General features: G+C 50.3%; 1 protein-coding gene across 12 annotated transcripts in view, besides 2 other annotated features; it reads left to right on the top strand.

Annotated features, from left to right (window-relative positions):
* Positions 1-20,197, top strand: part of CAPZB (capping actin protein of muscle Z-line subunit beta) — a 146,765-nt gene that overhangs the window by 86,854 nt on the left and 39,714 nt on the right. For 11 of the 12 annotated variants that reach the window (NM_004930.5, NM_001206540.3, NM_001206541.3 and 8 more), the window contains 2 exons: positions 13,060-13,181; positions 20,033-20,146. In NM_004930.5, the coding sequence (NP_004921.1) occupies positions 13,060-13,181; positions 20,033-20,146 (236 nt within the window). Of the gene's footprint in view, positions 1-13,059; positions 13,182-20,032; positions 20,151-20,197 lie in introns of all 12 variants that reach the window. The other variant, XM_017002430.3, reaches the window with a different exon arrangement.
* Positions 5,512-5,651: an enhancer, noted in NCBI's record as "active region_301". NCBI's record gives its function as "activates an Ori minimal core promoter by ATAC-STARR-seq in GM12878 lymphoblastoid cells {active_cell/tissue: GM12878}" and the evidence as "EXISTENCE:reporter gene assay evidence [ECO:0000049][PMID:35858748]".
* Positions 7,184-7,233: an enhancer, noted in NCBI's record as "active region_300". NCBI's record gives its function as "activates an Ori minimal core promoter by ATAC-STARR-seq in GM12878 lymphoblastoid cells {active_cell/tissue: GM12878}" and the evidence as "EXISTENCE:reporter gene assay evidence [ECO:0000049][PMID:35858748]".

Raw genomic sequence — 20,197 nt, 5'->3', positions numbered from 1 at the left:
TCTATGGGTGACTCAGTGAAATTACAGCAAAACCTGATGAGACATCCCTCCAGTGGAAGGAATCCAGTGTGAAACATTGTGGCCAGACAGCCTGGGTGACTTTTGTGCTGAGAACAGCGAAGCAACCCGACTTGTTGAGTCTGCCTTAGCACCCGCTCCCCCACTCAGACACGTAAACATGGCACAAACACTCCCACTTGAAGGGAAACAGAAGTATTACTGGAATCATGGTAGGTCATGGAGGTTTAGAAGCTTGTGATCGTGAGGATTTTTGGAGAATCTGTTGGAGGAAGCCAGACCTCCGCCCTCTGACTCAGTGGCTCCGTGCTCTGAGCTGGTCAGCCTCTGCTGTGGCTTCAAAGGTCATTCGCCTCCCAAGGGGCTATCAGGACCCCTGGGGCGAGGAGTACAGGGCTCAGCACCTCGCCTGGCTCATCGGGAGACTGAGCAGGTGTGGCAGGATGACTGTGGCTCACCTCCGTGTGTGGGCCCTGGAGGTCACGGAGTTCCTCATCATGGAGCAGATCCTCTCGGACTTGAGGGTGTTTCACAGGCTTTCAGATTCTAAAGTATCCCCTGCGTTGCCATTGCCCATGGTTGCCTGGCCGTGTGACTCCTTATTGTCACTTTCTGCCTCAGGTGTCTCGTTTCTGCTAAACAGAACATGTGAGATTTCCCTGGCATCCCCACCAGTGTCGACGTGCAGATGAATATCAACCCACAGACCCCGATGCTGTTGGTCTGTCCCTCTGGGCGATCATGAGCCCCCCAGATCAGTGGTAAAGAACAGCCCTTCCTATGCTGCCCCATCTGGCTCCTCCCGCATTCGGGTGGCGCGCGCCCTCAGGCTTCCCCCTGCATTCTTATTTTGTAACTTCCATGGTAGCCCATTCATAGTTTTCACCCTAAACTCTAGGTTTAGACGTGGACATTTGGCACACATGTGGTTTATAAAGCCTGAGGCCAGGCCTAACCCTTAGTATCCAGTGATGATGAAATGGATGCATTTCCCATTTCCCTCCCTGAAATTAGGTCTTGATGCTGTACCCTAGTAGGTGGCTGGTATGAGAGGTTCCGTTCGCGTTGACCTTGTGTGAAAAACCAATCTTGCCAAGTACTTCTCTCTGCCACCATCCAGCTGGTGACTCTTTCAGCTGAATTATTTTGCCTGCTAGGTTACTCACCAGGTGTCATTCTAGAGTCCGCACGGCCTTAGGGTGGGATCGCATGGCTTTCATTGAATTACCTGCTGTGTGACCATAGCCAAGTTGCTTAACCTACCTGTGCCTCTTTTTTTCACCTGTAAACAGTAATGTGGGATAATAACACCCCTGCCTTCTGCAGGGTTGCTGTGATGATAAAATGAGGATGTGTGTTACATGCCTTTTAAATGGTAAGACCTAAACATCTTTGCTGTTATTCCAATCATAACTTTGATAGTTCAGTAAGTCCTCACTTAATGTTGTCCATAGGTTCTTGGGAATTATGACCTACAGCAGGCCCTTGAATAATGTTTCATTAAAATGTTGACGAGAACAAAAATTTGGTTTCACTATGTATCTTTTCACTTAAACGAGAGGACAGAGATCCTCTGTGAAATTACAGTGTCTTTGGAGAAAAATCAACTTATATATGAGTTATGTTTGTGTATTTTTACCTGGTCTTTTCCCAAAAAGATTTCAGGTGACAGAAGAATACAAGCCAATACGATAATCTTTTTTTTTTTAATTTTTTGAGACAGAGTCCTCTCTGTCACCCAGGCTGGAGTGTAGTGGCGCCATCTCGGCTCACTGCACCCTCCGCCTCCCAGGTTCAAGCGATTCTCCTCCCTTAGTCTCCTGAGTAGCTGGGATTACAGGTGCTCGCCACAGTGCCTAATTTCTTTTTTTTTTTTTTTTTGTATTTTTATTAGAGGTGGGGTTTCACCGTGTTGGTCAGGCTGGTCTCGAACTCCTGGCCTCAAGTGATCCTCCTGCCTCGGCCTCCCAAAGTGCTGGGATTACAGGCATGAGCCACTGCGTCTGGCCAATAATCCTTAATAAAAATGTGGACTGAGAAAGCTGGACCGAGGACTGAGGACCGTCCGGGAAGAGAACAGCAGCTACCCCGTGCTTGCCTTCATGCTGGGAAGGCTGCGGGTCTGGCTTTAGGAGGAGCCTGTGTAGGGTACGAGGGGCAGCGGCAGCTCCACAGCAGGCGGCAGCCCACGCCCAGTGGGTGCACACCTTCATCCAACTCAGGGCTGGCAGTCAGGAAGATGAAATGCCATCCACGTCAAGTTTCGGTCTGTCTCCCACTCACCGAAGAATAGTCCCTCCTTTAAGGGAGGTGCTGAAGAGTGCTGAGAACTTGCTTCCCACCAAGGCAGGCTTGGGCTTCAAAAGATCAGAACCTGACCCAAGTGGCCCTAGTTTTCCACCATCCCACACCATCCCACCAACGCTTCAGAAGTCCTGCCAGCATCAAGCCGGGCATGAGGCCGTCCAGACAGCTCATCACTGCCCTGGGGAGACACATGCATGTCACAAACCTGTGAGGCTCAAGACCGCATCCTGCACAGGGTGCAGGAGTAGAGGCGGGGCAACGGCCTCTGCCGTCGCGGCTTTGGGAGGTTGCAGTGGAAGAGGCAGGCGTGGCCGAATCAGACCCTGAAGGATGACTTAGGTGGAACACGGGGAAGAAAGGTGGTCTGGATAGACATGCAGGATGCTGGGTGTGGGGCAAGCCTGAGTCAGGGGAGCCTCCCTGTGCTCCTTAGCCTGAGGCCATCGCCTGGCTGTAGGCGGCAGCTTCTCCTGCCGGCTGGCTGGCCGGCTGCAGGCAGTTCTCAGCACTAAGTCCAAGATGACTTCCATTCTGGTGACTCGAAGGTGGTTTTGTATGTTGTGCTTCATCTCTCAGGGACGAGTCCTTAATTAAAAGCAGCCGGGAGCTTAGAGAGACCCTGGCTTCTCTGCACACAGGTGATGGGTTGTGTGCCTGGCCAGGAAATGGTTCATTTAATTAGGCTCCGAGGGCCTGGTTCATCCCCTTCAGGGAAGCTTAAGGTTACATGTGGACAACAGGAGCCTTGTGTGTGCCTGTGGTTGACCCAAATGTAGTGATTTTCATTTCTCCTTTCCATTTGTCTTCTTTGTTCTGCCCCTTCCTGACCCTTTCTTTAGGAAACCGTTGTGGCCCCTTCCAGGCTGTGAGATTCCAGAGGGCAAAGCTTTGGGGTTTGGAGTATGAATGGCTGAAAGCGAGCCCAGGAGGCCTGCTTTTGTTTATTATTTATCTCTGGATGGTCAGGGCACCTGTCTGAGAAAAGAAAGAGATGGAGGGGACTTACCGTTTCCTGAAAAAGCTCTTTGTTGTTAATGGCATGTGGAAGACTCATTTCTAAGTAGAATAAATCATTTGTTGGTCAAAAATGGCTTCCTAATGTTGGCCCTCTCGGCCAGCCTCAGTTGTATTAAACCCTAGGTAACCAACCACAACCCCCGCCTTGAGTCATGTGCCTCATATGAGCAGGTACAGATGCTGCTGCACCCTCGAAGGGGTTACGTGACGAAAAATCCACTGGAAGTAGAAAATGCTTTTAATCCCCCTAACCTGCCAAGCGTCGTGGCTTAGGCTGGCTGACCCTAAATGTGCTCAGAACACACCTACAGTTTGGTGAAAGCACCTGGCGCGCGGTGGCTGTAGAGTGTCATCGCTCACCTTTTTGATCACAGGGCTTGTGGGGAGCTGTGGGAGCTGCTGTCTCCCTGCGTCATGAGGGAGGATCAGACCGTGCATCGCTAGCCCAGGAAAAGATCAAAATTCAAACTACAGCTTCTACTGAATACTATCGCAGAATCAAAAAAATCTTAAGTCAGAAACATCTGTGTTACTCCGCCAGATGTGCTGTATGTACCATTATCTCAAATCTATGTTGCGTGGCTTGCTCACTTTTTTTGTTTGTTTGTTTTGTTTTGTTTTGTATTTTGAGACAGAGTCTTGCTCTGTCACCCAGGCTGAAGTGCTGTGGCGCGATCTCTGCTCACTGCAACCTCCGCCTCCTGGATTCAAGCAATTCTGCCTCAGCCTCCCAAGTAGCTGATTACAGGCCTGCGCCACCACGCCCGGCTAATTTTTGTATTTTTAGTAGAAACAGCGTTTCACTATGTTGGCCAGGTTGGTCTCAAACTCCTGACCTCAGGTGATCCGCCCACCTCAGCCTCCCAGAGTGCTGGGATTACAGGCGTGAGCCACTGTGCCCAGCCATCGCTTGCGTTTTAATGTTGCCAAAATTGGGAAATTGCTTCTTACACTTAATGTGTACACTTAGCGATGTTATAATTACTGGTGCATCTTACAACTTACAGCCTTCACAGGAAGAAAGCAGGCTGTGCTTGCACTTAAAGAATATGGCCCTTGGCCAGGCGCGGTGGCTCATGCCTGTAATCCCAGCACTTTGAGAGGGCAAGGAGGACGGATCACCTGAGACCAACCTGGCCAACATGGTGAAACCCCATCTCTATAAACATATAAAAATTAGCTGGGCATGGTGGTGCACACTTATAATCCCAGCTACTCATGAGGCTGAGGCAGGAGAATCACTTGAACCTGGGAGGCAGAGGTTGCAGTGAGCCGAGATCGCGCCACTGCACTCCAGCCTGGGCAACAGAGCGAGACTTCGTCTCAAAAACAAAACAAAACAAAAAAATATGGCCCTCAGCGCCAAGTGACTTCTTAAAGAGGAGAGAGGCTGGACCTGGAAGTGTCCTCTTGTGTGTGGCCCTGGCAGGCGGGGGGCCAGTTTCTCACTAGGCTCTGCTGGGCAGTAGGCACTGAGCCCCTGCCCACACGCCAGGAGTCCCCGAGGCCCAGAGTGGAAAGGTCACATGTCGGATCTGCTGTGGGCTGTGGGCTGTGGTGAGGGGCAGGAGAGCCCAGCCCTGCAGCCCTTCCCAGGCGACCCCAGGCACCTTGGGTCTGCCGTGACCGGGCACTTGGGGGAAAAAGCTTTGGTCCTCACAGTCCCATAATTCCCCCAATTCTATTCTTTTTTCCTCCCCTGTCCCCTGAGCCTGACTGGGGATGGGGGCAGCTCGCCTTGTTGACCCGGTGGGGCCTGGTCTTTGGAAGAGCTGGGTCAGTCTCAAATTGAGATTCTCATTCCTCTCCACCTCGTGTTGGCTGGGACAGCCGGGGCCAGCAGCTTCCCCGTGCCTGGGTTTTCTCATCCACAGGTTGGGGGGTGCCCTCAATCCTGCCTCCGAATAGGTGCGCCATACCCTAGCTCACGTGGCTATTATCCTAAGGAGATATGTTTTGATGCTTCCTGGGGTGAGCGGGAGCCCCTGGGGTCCCCCTCTGGTTACTCAGGGGTACCACTTGCCTGAGTCTCTGGGAGCACAGCTGCTTCCCGTCCAAAAACAAGCTTGGCCACCCGGGTGTGACTTTCAGGCCCGGCGCGAAGCTGCCGCCTGTGCAGGTGCCTTCTCATTGCAGAGGTGGCCATGCTCAGAGAGCCATTAGGCAAAATGGGTCGGAAGCTCCAGCCTCGGCTACATGAAGCTGTGCTTCCGTGGCTCAGTGTTCCTAATGACAAACTGGGGTCCCTGTAACGAAGCTGCCCTTGGGGAGTTGGGGAGCAGGCTTGTGTTTTCTCTACACTAAGTAGTGGTGGTGGGGTGGGGATTCCTGCATCTCTCATAGGCTGGTGGAGGCCATGTGTCCATCTGGACAGACCGGTGAAGGGAGCCCCACTGAAGGGATCCTGACCTGGAGGCCATCTCCCTAGGCGAGGACAGCCAGCTTGCAGGCCCTCACTGGGAGGCCTTTCCCAGCATGTGCTCTTGTACCTTTTTGAATTCTGACCTATGTGAATGTATTACCTATTATACATAAGTAAACACTTTTTTTCTTGAGTCAGGTTCTTACTCTGTCACCCAGGCTGGAGTACTGTGGTGCAAACACGGCTCACTGCAGCCTCGACTTCCCGGGTTCAAACAATCCTCCCACCCTAGCCTCCTGAGTAGCTGGGACTACAGGAACATGCCACCATGCCTGGCTATTTTTATTATTATTATTTTAGTAGGGACGGAGTCTTGCCCTGTTGCCCAGGCTGGTCTCGAACTCTTGATCTCAAGCGAGCCACCGCAGCTGGCCTTTTTTTTTTTTTTTTTTTAATTCTTAAGAAAAGCAGTGTGCCAGGGCCTGCCCTCACACTTGGAGTGACCCAGGAGGTGCTGCGTGCTGCCTCACTGGGTCTCACTCCAGCCGCGCTTTGCTCCTCTCTGTTCTTGCACTTGCCTCAGTGGCCTCTGCAGCAGAGCCTCATGCCAGCTCTTCCCTCTTCTTGGGATGCCCCTGTTATTTTTCCCTGCAGTCTTGGAGGGCCGGCTCCTTGGTCATTATTCACATGTCATCTCTGTGCCACCTCCTAGACTGCTGACTTGCCCCCACAGCAACCCCCTTCTGTCGTCTCCTGCAGGTTCGCTTCCTGCCTCTTTTTTTTTTTTTTTTTTTACCTTGAGACAGAGTCTCTCTGTGTCGCACAGGCTACAGTGCAGTGACACAGTCTTGGCTCACGGCAACCTCTATCTCCCAGATTCAAGTGATTCTCCTGCTTCGGCCTCCTGAGTAGCTGGGATTATAGGCATGCACCACCACACCTGGCTAATTTTTGTATATTTTTAGTAGAGATGGGGTTTTGCCACATTGGCCAGGCTGGTCTTGAACTCCTGAACTCAAGTGATCCACCCTCCTCAGCCTCCCAAAGTGCTGGTTACAGGCGTGAGCCACCATGCCTGGCCTACCCTTGCCTCTTGGAGATGCCTCTGTGGCTGGACTTTGCTGTCAGAGCAGGGCCGCCCATGTCCATCTCTTCCCGTGCTGAGCCCTTGCACCTGACACGGGCCTGGAGCGGGCATTCGGGGTTTATGGAACAGTGTGAATTTCTCCTTGACATGGATGTTGTAACCCCCAGTTCCAGAGACTTAGGAAGGTTACACTCAGCCAGCAAGTGACTGACCGAGGATTTGAACCTGTTCGGTTTCGAGGTTGGTGTTTTTACAGAATGCCACACTGTATATTTTGTTTCTGACACGAGTGTATGTGCCACTTGAAATGCTCTTTTATCTTTTTAAGAAAGTTTTGGGCCTTCTGGAAAAATAAAAGGAACAAATTGTCACAGAGCCCTCTGCTGGACGTCGGCAGCTGCAGCATTCTGGCGTGGCAGTTTCCTCTGAGTGCACCCAAGTACGCAGAATCTGTTTTTGATTCCTATCTTGCTGGTGGTGGGCTCTCGGCCAACAGGCAGATCAAAAGATGGAATGTGTTCATTTGGCCATTTTTTAAAAAACCGAGGTACAAGGGTGCACTTCTTAAAGACAAGGGCGCCGTGGGTTAGACTCCGTGGGTCTGAGCTGCTCTGGCTTTTGTGCTTTTTTTAAGGGTTCATCTCAAGTTTCTTTTTCTGGTTGAACAATTTTTTTCAACATTAATAACTAATGGAGAAGAGGAAGAGGCAAAGTAGAACCATATGGCGGCACAAACACGAACCTCACTTGTGGCCGGAAACTTCTGATTTGTATCTCTTCGTGTGATCAGCTGTTGGGTTGGATGATTTAAGAAAAAAAAAAAGTGTTCAGTTTGGGAAAAGCAGTTTCTTTTTGAACCTAGCTGTGCTGTATATAACTGCATGTCCTTCCTCAGACATTGGCCCGTAGCTGCGTGGCTCCGGTCAAGTTATTTCTCTAAGGCCCTGTTTCCCCTTCTTTAAAACAAGGACTGGAGTGCGTGTCTGTGTGAAGAGCCATTGTCAGGATCATAGGGAAGGGCAGGGAGAGCTGCTAGCATAGTGCCTGCCACGCAGGGCAGGGCTATTACGATCACCTGGTCCTTCCACGGATTATTATTCAGGTGTCACCTGAGGCCGTTGCCAATGGCATCCTAGTCTCTCCCTTACCTTCTACCTTCTGGGGTTTTTTCTTTTCCCTGCCCTAGTTCACTTTACCCACTCCCCACCCGTCTTTCCAGTGGCCTCCTGGGTACCACCGAGCCCGGCAAAAGTATCGGTGGTGAAGGACTTGTGGCTCCTGCTCCCTGGGGTGGGCACACTCCTGTGGCAGCAGAGGAACTGGTGGAGCCCTGAACTCCCACCAGAAAGACGGCAGGCACTGTCCTGACCAGTGTAGTGTTTATTATTCCAAGTCACTGGGAATTATGTTTAAATCCCCCCAACAGCCTGGATTGGTCTGACACCTTTGGTGTTATCTGAACCTTCCCTCCAAGGCCGTTAGGCAGTTCAGATGGGTGGTTTAGACAGAAACCATCCGGCTGCCGCGTGTCAGCACCGCTCCTCCTCCTCAGAGGCCCTCCCTGGCTTTGGAGGCGACAGAGCCAGTGCCACATGCACCCCAAAGTGAACTCTCGGCTTTGTTTGGACCTGTCGTTTCATTTAAATCACTGTACAAACCCATGGTCTGTGACACTTAATGTGATTTCTTCCACTGCTCTAAGCACTCGACATGAGTAGGGGGCGGGGGCCGGGGTTCAGATGAGTGTAGGGACTGGTTAGATTACAGAGATACACTGCCTTCATTCTGGTTCTGTAATATGGCCTCAGACCACAGGATTAATATCCACTTACATGGAATCAGCATGCATTGACTGATCCCTGCTGCAGCGGGCGTGATGCTGCGCTGAGGCTGGAGGGCCTGTCTTGGCCTCTGTAGGTGTGGAGTCAATTCACAATGAAAAATGCTAAGTGGTGAGGAAGGAGTAAGGTGAAAGTCATTGGCAGTATTAGAACAGCCATCCCCAAAGCATTTAGGATTCAGTTGATATTAGTGTTACTGCAGGAATTCTGAAGAATTTGACATCTTGATAAAGAAGTTGGAGTTTGGGCCAGGCCCTGAAGGATCAGTAAGATTTAAGAGAGCAGTGGGGATTGGCTGTCAGATTTAGCAAATAAAAATACATGGCCTGGCCAGGCGCAGTGGCTCACACCTGTAATCCTAGCACTTTGGGTGGCCGAGGTGGGTGGATCATGAGGTTAGGAGATAGAGACCATCCTGGCTAACGTGGTGAAACCCCATCTTTACTAAAAATAGAAAAATTAGCTGGGCGTGGTGGCACACACCTGTAATCCCAGCTACTCGGGAGGCTGAGGCAGGAGAATGGCATGAACCTGGGAGGCGGAGCTTGCAGTGAGCCGAGATCGCGCCACTGCACTCCAGCCTGGGTGACAGAGCTGGACTCCATCTCATTGAGAAAAAAAAAACACACGACCCATGTAACCTTTAGGAAGTAGTCATACTAAAATGTTATTCATTGTGTATCTGAAATTCAGACTGAACTGGCCTCCCTCTGTTTTATCCAGCAACCCTCAATGGGGAAGATGTTTAAGTGGGGGAATGCACGTGCATGTTCAGGGAGTGGTGAATGGGACCGTGTGGTTGTTTGAGGAGTTTCGGGCAGAGGTGGAGGGACGGCGTGGGTATGAGACGGGATCAGTGATGGTGCCAGGTCGTGACTAATGCACCTTTGGGCAGCTGCTGTGGTCCAAGTCTGTGGGCACACCATGTATTATTCCACATTTCTCATTCCCCATGACAACGAAAATGTTATTATTCCAGAGCAGATTATCTTTGATCAAAAGAAACAGCGCTGATGGAAATATGGCCAAAACTATGGCCCAGCTTAAGAGTTGATCCAAAAGGCAAAAATGGTGCCTGCTTGGGTGGAGTCCGTTGGCCATATCAAGTCCCAGAGGCTTTTCACTGTAGGACAAGCAGTGCCAGTTTTTGAGTTCCAGTTTAAATGTATGTTTTTCTGGGGTTGGTTAGTACCTGGCATACTGGCTTTCAGAAGTCCCATCACAGATCTTCAAGGGTGGTCTGTCTCCGTGCAGCTCATCTACTGTGTTTGACAAATGAACAGTCTTGGGCTTTGCCTAAGGTTCCGTGGCCAGCTCACAGCAGAGCAGAGGCTAGAACCCAGGTCTCTTAGTTCTCACTCTTTCCACCAATGCTGTGGCTCCTTGAGGTCATATGTTAATAAAAAATGCCAGGGCTTTCATGACAGCTCCGGTTCTCTTTGTTCAGTGCTTTCCCACCATACCATGGTTCATATCTGAGAGTGCTGGGTTGGAACCACACAGGAAACTTGTCATCAGCATCCATTCAGATTTAGTTCTGGACAAGTGCTTTTGCTAAAGATTCCTATTACCTGCCAATTTATTAATTTTAAAGTAAAGTTGATTGGAGTTTGGGAGGCTCCGTGTTGTAAAACTCCTCCTTTCCTCCCTCTTTCCCTCCTTTCTTTCCTTCCTCCCAAATATATTAAGCATTTGCTGTGTGTCAGGCACAGCCACAGGCACTGAGAATCCTGCAGTGAGTAAGATCGAAGTCCTTGCCCCAGTAAAACTTACATTCTAGTGAGGGATACAGATAACTGATCAATGAAAAAATACTCCACCTGGTGTTAAGTGCTAGGAAGAGATTACTCAGATGCTTTCGATTCATAGATGAATCTCTTGGATAGGAGTAGAGTCAAGCCTCTTTTATACCAAACCCTATTTTCTTGTGAGCTTTCCTACGTTGAGGGGACTTAGCTGCAAGCAGTGTGCCTGGCAGGAGAAGGGAAACAGCTGGCTCCAGGTGGAACTGGGGTGAAGCACCGGATCCTCACAGGTACGTTTGTACCCTGTGTCTGAAGCAGCACAGTGAATTCAGGTATGATCCAGGCTATTGTTGCCATCTGAGAGTAACAGGTGACAGATGATATTGTCTAAAGGAAGGGAAAGGAACCTGAACGTGTCAGGCAGTAACATACGTGCATTTCCCTGTGCCAGGCTCTGCCCTGAACACGGAATGCATTGTGTCATGTGGGTCCTCAAAATCACATGGGCATGGGCACCCAGATGGGTTGGTTTTATTATCCCCATTTTACAGGTACGGAAACCAAGTCTTAGTAGAGAAGTAAAATGACTTACCCAGGCCATAAGGCTACTTGTACGCAGCGGAGTCAGGAGGTCTAACTTCAGACCCTGTTTGCTCAGTCTCTACTGTAATTGAGGAAAAATTGAGCTGATGGTGTCAGGACTCCAACCAGAGAGAATGGGTTCCAGGCAAAAGTTGAGGCCCAACAGATAAGCCAAGGCAGCATCCCAGCATTATAAACAGAGATGCTTAGGGACAGGCATGATGTGTTAGGTGAGGTGGCTTCATTGGCTGTGGCAGCACAGCAAGGCCTCTTTCAGGTCCCAGATGGCCTCGGGTGGAAGCTGTTAGACCTTCCTTCCTCAGCCAGGACTTCCTTCCAGTTGAAGGGCTCTGTGGCCACAGCTAAGCAGGGCTGGGGCTAGGAGAGGGCTGTTTGCCACCAGAGGGTGCCTTTAGCATGCACTGTCCTTCCCCTTAGCTGGACATTAAACCAAAGTTAGAGTAGGAGGAGTAGGGACTTTGGACTCATCTGGCCCTGGTTTTGTTTTCTGTCTCCACTGCTTGCTTCTTGTGTGGCCCTTGGGTAACTTTATGGCTCCCGGCCTCAACTCTAATCTGTAAAATGGGGCTTTGCATACCCACTTTGCAGAATGCGTGTGAGCTTTCAAGTCAACAATATGCTCTACCATAGTGCGTGGTGCATGGCAGGCACATGGAAATGGTAAGGTGCATGATATTATCACCAAAACCAACTTTGAAAGTAGCCCCCATTTTTATTATGTTTGTTAGGAAAGGGCAGATACACATGGAGAAAGAATTCTGAAAACAAGCACAGGTACAGGCCAGGCCTGGGGGCTCACACCTGTAAGCCCAGCACATTGTACACAGGGGTTGGTGGTGTATGTCTATCTCTTTGGGTACTGTCCCCTGTATAAGAAACAGATCATCTCACCAAGGCCAGAATTTCTGTGAGTTATGAGGCAGGGTTACAGTCCTTTAGTTGTGCTGGGCGTTGCTTTCCAAGCTGAGTTCTAAAGCACCCTGGAGGGGCAGCAGAGGAGCCCGTGGAGGCTGGGTGGTCCCTGTGGTGGTGGGACTCCCTGTCCCTGCCTGTCTCTTGGATGGTGGCAAGGGCCTTCTGGAAGAACACAGGAACCACTGTCGCTGTCAGCCCGTCTGCTGAGCTGCTCTGCTGGTGTCTTTGCCATACGATGGAATTTTTCCACTGGGAAGGGTTATTGGTGCAACTGGCAGGCACTTTCCTGGTAAACGATATGGTGGAGCCCCCATAAACCCAGGCCCATGAAACAAATAAGTCAGCACATTGAAAATATAGCGTGGAAGTGACTCAGGCCTGAAGGAATCCATTTCTGAAAGTGCTGCCATCCCTTTCTGGGATATTTTGGTAGAAATTGATGTTTGAGTTGGGAGGAGGAGGCCAGTGGCCTGGTTACTTGCAGAGCCTTGTGTCAGAGTCGCAACATTGGCCCAGAGTTTGAGTCCTGCCAGCCCCCGACCGCGGGGTCATCTTTCTTGGTGAGGCGGCCCCCTGGCAGGCCAGCCGGAGGTGAGCCCACTGGGGCTCTGTGCTGTGGGGGAGCCGGGGTGAAGCTCTCTTTGCAGCAGATAGAGTTGACTCTACAAGCCAACTGGTAACACTTGGCTAGGGGCCTGGAAAGTACTGGAGACTCCACCCAGCATAGGAGCCTGTGGGAGTTCCCGGCACGGACGAGTTTTTCTACTCCGAGTTCTTTAGATTCCTGTGTATTTGAAATGTTTACCTTCTTCTCGGGACTTCAGCTTGTACTTTGCCCACCAGAGACCAATACCAAGCACATACACACTTAAATTTACTAGGCCACCCTGGTGACCAGGTAATTAAAGCTGCACACAGTTTTTGGAAGGAAGACTGTATTAGAAATCACGCTCCACTGTAATTCAAGAATGGGTTTCTTTATAGAGGGACACAGTTGGTGTCAGACACATGTGGAAAAGAAAAGAACAGGCCCATAATTTTGTCTCAGTGCCCAGGGCCAGATGTTAAAGGTACTGACCACAATATGGCTGCAGTATTGTTAGCCACCTGAGTTTGGTGTGCTGTTTTAACCTCTGTTTCGACCTTGTCCTTTCTCTCTGCCAGGTCCCCAGTCTATGTGAGGATCTCCTGTCTTCTGTTGACCAGCCACTGAAAATTGCCAGAGACAAGGTGGTGGGAAAGGATTACCTTTTGTGTGACTACAACAGAGATGGGGACTCCTATAGGTGAGCTCATGCCCCGGGGATGCAGCAGGCACAGCAGGCACACGCGGGCTGCCGTAGGTACCTGCTGCAGAGCACGGGGACCTTGGACTTGGGCAGCTGGCAGCCCATTCAGCTTTCCTTCCGTTTGTTCCCTGCCCTCCTCTCCTTTCTTCTCTTGTCCTCCCCATTCTTCTCATCGTTCCATCTGTTATTCCAATCATGCAGCAGACGTTTGAAGAGTGCCACCCACAAGCATGAGAGATAGAGCAGCGGACCAAAGGCCCCCTGCCTTCATGGATCTTCCAGTCTAACGGGAGAGGGATGTTGTTCAAAAACAACTGTTCTATTATAATTGCATTCAGTCCTGCGGAGGGCAGTGTACAGGGTGCGCATATGATGGGGATCCTGAGGGCTGGGAGGGTCTCTGTGGTAAGGGATCTACGAACGCAGCTCTGTCAGATACACAACTCTCCTCTCTCTTTCCGTCACCTCGCCCAAGGCTGTAAATAACTAAGTTGACATTAGTCCCTGCCCTGGGTGTCTGATCACCAGGTCTAGCATAGGAGACACATTGGGTAACTGGTAACTGTATGATGTGATTCATACAGCCAGTGCAAAGTCTGTTCAGGGTGGGACGGTAGCACAGAAGAGGCCATGGTCAACTCCAGGAGGACTTCCTGAAGGAGGTGATGTCTGAGCTGGGTTTTAAGGGCATGTAGGAGTTATACCTCTATTTTTTAAGAGTGGGAATCCTTAAACTGGCCCAGTGTTTCCATGATGAATTGCAGTAGTCACTGCCTTGGAGAATGGTAGAGGAACACAGCCTGCTTTAGGTTTATTTGGAGACCACAGAACCAGGGTTGTCTTGAAGCTTCACCCTGATGCTCTCTTTGGAGATGGGGCAAGGCTTCTGGGAAGTCAAAGCAGGAAAAATGATCAGGAGTCAGCCAGTGTGGGCTTCAAACCAGCACAGCTCCCTGTGTCAATGGGACTTTGACAAATCACTTATTGTCGCTGGTCTTTTAGTTTTGTCATCTGTAAAACGGAAATAGTAGTGTTTCTTTACTCAACAGAATGCTTCCTGAAGAAAATAAAGAGGACAGTGGGAGGGAGGGAGAGGACGGGCAGGCAGGGAAGGCTCTCCCACAAGTGGGAACTGGAGGATGAAAAGGTCCAGGTCTGGGGAAGAGCCTGCTGGGTGCTGAGGCCCTGGGTGATGAGCTCACCAGGATGGAGCTGGCAGAAGGCCAGAGGTGGAGAAGGCAGTGAGGGGAGGGCAGTGGGGGCGGAGATGAGGGAGGAGGCATGGCCAGGGCAGGTCTGGCAGGGTCTTGAAGGCCAGGCTGAGGGTAATAAAAGTTAGCACAGGGTTATTTATTGGGGGGATAAAAGAAGTAACACACGTGAAATGTTGAATGGCACAGACATTGTCATATACTTAAAAAGTTTAATACTGACTTATAAGAGACTAGACAACAGTTTTATAATCATGTCCCTTTCCTGGCTTTAAATGGAAATTAGGTAGAGATTATATTTTGCCCTCCTTCAGACCACAGACTAGAGTTGAAATGGTGAGAAGTGGTGAGATTTGAGGTCACTTTTAAAAGTAGAGCCAGCGGCCTCTGCAGGTAGGTGGGGATGGAAGAAGAGGAGGTGGGGTGTGAAGGGTGATTACAAGGCTTCGGACCTGAGCCACTGTTGATTGAGGTGAGGAGGACTCGGGGAGGAGCAGGCATAGGGACACTTTAAGCTTGAGAGGCCCATTAGATCAAAGTGGAGATACCAGGTAGGCTGTGGATGTACCATGTGGAGTTCCAGGAGAGAGGTTTAGGCTGGGGATGTGGCTGCAGATGTCCCAGCATATAGATGGTGATACAGCCCTGAGGCCGATCAAATTCATCCTTGAAGGGCTCATTCTGTGCCTGGAACTGCTGGTCACAGCATGGCGTCCAGGTGCTGTCCTTGGGAGCATCTTGCTCTGTCGCCCAGGCTGTAGTGCAGTGATGCGAACATGGCCCCCTGCACAAGACCATAGGCATGTATCACCATGCCCAGCTAATTTTTTTTTTTTTTTTTTTTGAGACAGAGTCTCACTCTGTTGTCCAGGTTGGAGTGCAGTGGCACGATCTCAGCTCACTGCAACCTCTGTCTCCTGGGTTCAAGCAGATTCTCCTGCCTCAGCCTCCCAAGTAGCTGGGATTACGGGTGTACGCCATCGCTCCCAGCTAGTCTTTGTATTTTCAGTGCAGACAGGGTTTCACCACGTTGGCCAGGCTGGTCTTGAACTCCTGACCTCAAATGATCCTCCTGCCTTGGCTTCCCAAAATGTCAGGATTATAGGCATGAGCCACTGCGCCCAGCCCCAGCTAATTTTTTTGACTTTTTCTCTCTCCTTTTTTTTTTTTTTTTGTAGAGATGGGGGCCTCATTTTGTTGCCCAGGCTGGCCTCGAACTCCTAGGTTCAAGCAGTCCTCCCACTTCAGCTTCCCAAATTGCTAGGATTACAGGTGTGAGCCACATTGCCCAGCCAGGGAGCCACTGATGAAGTGGGTGGACCAGCCCTTAGAGAGAGAAGTCCAGTGAAGATGGTGAGTGGTCTGACAGACCAGGGAGCAGGCAGGGAGAAGTATTCTCGCCCGGCATGCAGTTCAGGGAACGCTTCCTGGAGGAGGTGTTCCTTGAACTGGTCTTGCTTAATCAACATCATTATTATATTTATTATTTCCACCTAAAAACTCCAGTTGACTGTGTAAGGCAGCTGTTCTGCAGGAGCTGGTGGAAGGACGGGATCATGTCTAGGTCCGTGGCTAGGCCAGGCTCTGCGGGAGACTTGGTACCTGCAGCCCTTCCAGGTCACCCCTTTGTCCCCCACCTGCATTCCTGAGGCCCTACCACCAGCTCTGGGGGATCTCAGGCCTTTAGAGAGGAGCCTGGGGTGTGGAGGCAGAAAGTATGTCTTTCTTTCTCCTCTTCTCGATATGAAACTTCAAGGTCTTCTGATTCTGTCCACAGATTTCCATCCTGACTGTGTTTGATGGTTTGCTTAAATAAGATCCTTATGGTGTGACCGTTGCCAGCAGCACCGTTTGAAACCTGTTAGCTGAAACAAAAAGCCTTCTCGGAGGGAAATGAAAGTCCTGACTTTTGAAATCTAGGCATTCCTGTCCATCTGTCTTTTTTCAAATGGCCTCCATTTAAGCTCTTAAGTGTGTTCTGAGTGCCCCTTCCACTAAGAATATTCTGGTTAATGTTATGATATTTCCCTCAGCTACAATTACCCTGGCTTCAGGACTAACAGCTTGAAATGCTATCGTCTGTGAGCCAGTAGAAATGTGAGTTACAGGCTTCTTGCAAATTGCAGGCCCCCAGTCTGCCCGAAAGATGGGCTCTTGTGTCTAATCAGGGTGCCTTGAAATGAACGCCACTTGGGTCGGGTCTTCCCAGCCTACAGGAAGGCGATGGCTGTCATCGAACTGTGGGAACGGTCCTGCGTATGAGTGTGCTGCAGAGTCTCAAAGGGCCACCCAGGGGAAGGAGGGAATTCAGCTCCACACCCTCAGATTCTTATCCACTCCCCCGGCCAGCAGAAGAACCAAGCCTTGTTTATAGATAAATCATGGCGACAGCATCTTTTCACCTGGATCTTTGTCTCTGAGATCTGATGAGAGGCTTTTGTTGATTTGGTGTTTTTGTTTTTTAGTGCTTAGGTGAGGCTGAGGCAGGAGAATCTGCTTGAACCCAGGAGACACAGGTTGCAGTGAGCTGAGATCATGCCACTGCACTCCAACCTGGGCAACAGAGTGAGACTCTGTCTCAAAAAAAAAAAAAAAAAAAAAAAAAATTAGCTGGGCATGGTGGTACATGCCTATGGTCCTGTACAGTGGACCATGTTCACATCACTGCACTCCAGCCTGGGCGACAGAGCAAGATGCTCCCAAGAAGGACAGCACCTGGGCGCCATGCCCGTGACCAGCATGAAAAAGCCAGAAAGCTGCTCCATCTCTTGGTTTGGAGAAGTGGAACACCAGCAGAATTCCCCTTTCTTCCTCTCCCGGGCTGTGAGGCTTCGGTCCACCAGCAGCATCTGCTTGGCACTAACTCAGGGCTGGGTACTGGGGACAAGGGCAGGCAGCACAGGCTCTCTGCTGTCAAAGACCTCTTGCAGTCGAGGGTGAGGGAAGAAGGGCAAGGATATGACAGGCATGAGGATCAACATCTGTGTGAGAGGGAGGAGGGAGTGGTTGGTTCTGTTGTGGTGGGGGGGCGGGGGTGCAAGAATTCATGCTTTTTTATTTTATTTATTTACAACTGTGATTGGACAAGAAGAATTCATTCATTTTTTTTTGTTTGTTTCCCCGAGATGGAGTCTTGCTCTGTCACCCAGGCTGGAGTGCAGTGGCGCGATCTCAGCTCACTGCAGCCTCCGCCTTCTGGGTTCAAGTGATTCTCCTGCCTCAGCCTCCTGAGTAGCTGGGATTACAGGTGCATGCCACCACACCCAGCTAATTTTTTGTATGTTTAGTAGAGATGGGGTTTCACCATGTTGGCCAGGCTTGTCTCAAACTCCTGACCTTGTGATCCTCCCGCCTCGGCCTCCCAAGGTGCTGGGATTGCAGGTGTGAGCTACCGCGCCTGGCCAAATTCATTCTTAAAAACATTTTTTTTTTTAATGAGCGTGTAGTTGAGTGCCAGGCACTGTTCTAGGTGCTGAGCAACCCGAAGAGAAGATGACAGAAAAGGCTCTTGCCGCCTCCTAGCTGAGGTTCTAGAGTGAGCTATCTGCATTCAAATTGATTCCCATTAAATAAAATTAAGAATTGAGTCTCTTGGTCATACCGGTCACATTGTAAGTATGCAAGTAGCTACACATGGCTAGTGACTTGTTTTGGACAGCACAGATTTAGAACATCTCCATCGTCTCAGGAAGTTCTGTTGGGCAGCCCCGTTTCAGAGGGAGGAGCGACAGGCTACAAGAACTGACAGGTCAGCCCGCGCTTGGCTTCTCAGGAGAACTGAGGCATCGATTGTGGGCGGCACGCCTGTCTTCCCAGCCATCTGGGGTCCCAGCTTGTTGACAGTTTGCTTCCCATGGTGTGCGATGGCCCAGTGTGACCATGAAAGCTGGCTGCTGCTCATGGGGCAGCAGGGGGTGTCTCACCCCATTCTTGCAAAGTCTCTACCAAAACTGCGGTGAGCAGCAGAAAGTGGTCAGCTTGGAAACAAGGATTTCCAAGGCTCCTTCTGCTTTGAGGTGATCAGGAGTGTAATTCCTGCCTGGAGACTCTTTGGGGACACCAAGCACAGCAACTCTTCCCCTACATACCGTTTGTGAACCAGCCTCTGAGAAAGCTGCCTGCGGGTGGCTGGTGGAAGAGGCCGCCCAGCTTATTCTGGTTCCATACTCCATGATCTACTGACGTAGGTGCCTGGTGGAGCATCACTTACCAAGAAGAAAGATGTCTGCGTGCAGAATTCTTTAAAACTGGGGTTTGGAAGATGATGAGCATACTTTTTTTTTCCTTAACATGCATTCCACATCACAATGATGTGGTCAGGAGGGGATGCGGAAAAGGCATTGTGGGTCTCTGACAGTGGAAACAGCGAGGCGTTTAGACCAAGAGTGTGAAGGACTTTTTCTGAATTCCATGTTGTCTTCTCTGTCTTTTCATTCCTCTCTCACCTTTTTAATTCTGCTACTTTCTCTGAACACTCGGCCCTCTGAACCCCACCTGCAGGAATTAATGAGTAGATCTTTCCCTTATAACCCCCTTTCCAGTTCTCAGTGTGATTAAATGCTTTCCTGATGTGGCAAAATACATTTCAAGAAATACAGCAAGTCTTTTGGGCTGCAAAAAGACTGGTTCTCATTACTTAGCAGTCTTCATATGTGTGCATAGCTCTTGGATGTTGGAAAAGCTATCCTGTGTTCACGTGGAGAACCTGATTGCTCAGGTTTTCTAATGTAATCAGCATTTCCCTGTGGAGCTGTATCTCTTGCCCGCCTCTGTAACTGACAGCTCTCTTCTTAACGCTTACTATGTAAGAAGGTCTTAAAGTTTATGTAGAGCCTCCAGCAAATCAGGGAGGAGAGAGGGGCATCTGTTGAACTATAAGGTGGTGAACACATGGCCAGGCGCGGTGGCTCACACCTATAATCCCAGCACTTTGGGAGGCTGAGGCAGGGAGATTACTTGAGGCCAGGAGTTTGAGACCAGCCTGGCCGACACGGCCAAACTCCGCCTCTACTAAAAATACAAAAATTAGCTGGGCCTGGTGGCTTGCACCTGCAATTCCAGCTACTCAGGAGGCTGAGGCACGAGAATCGCCTGAACCCAGGAGGCGGAGGTTGTGGTGAGCCAAGATCACGCCACTGCACTCCAGCCTGGGCGACAGAGCTAGACTCTGTCTTAAAAAAAAAAAAAAAAGAAAGAAAAAAAAATAGGTGGTGAACACAAAACTGAGAAAGCGGGTAAGAAAGAACTAGCATTTGTTGAACACTGACAGTCTGGCAAGCTCTGGGCTGGGCGCTTGATCTGCTTGTCTCATTTCTCATGACGACCCTGTGTGCGGAGCAAGTAGCAGCCGCATTTTACGCAGGAGAAAAGTGAGGCTCAGGGAGTTGGGACACTTGCTGAGCATTCACAGCCAGTGAGAGGTGGAGCACGGGCGTGTGCCCCAGTCTGCCCGCATCAGAGCCCTTGTTCTCCAAACCTCCAGAAAGCCCTGTTTGTTGCCAGGACCCAGAAAAATCTTTGCTGGAGTTAGCGGCTTTGCCTCCGAGATTTCAGATAGCCAGGGCTCAGGCTCCCTGCTCGCTGGCCGTGTCTTCATGGAACGATTCATGGTATATACTTTTCCTTCCTTCCCTCCAGGTCACCATGGAGTAACAAGTATGACCCTCCCTTGGAGGATGGGGCCATGCCGTCAGCTCGGCTGAGAAAGCTGGAGGTGGAAGCCAACAATGCCTTTGACCAGTATCGAGACCTGTGAGTCATTTTCTCCTGTTGCACTTTAGCGCTTGTGAGTTTTGAGAGGTA

Source organism: Homo sapiens, chromosome 1 (genome assembly GCF_000001405.40).
Source record: "Homo sapiens chromosome 1, GRCh38.p14 Primary Assembly".
NCBI lineage: Eukaryota > Metazoa > Chordata > Mammalia > Primates > Hominidae > Homo > Homo sapiens.
Note: the sequence above shows the minus strand (reverse complement) of the source record. Positions and strands in the feature narration are given on the sequence as shown.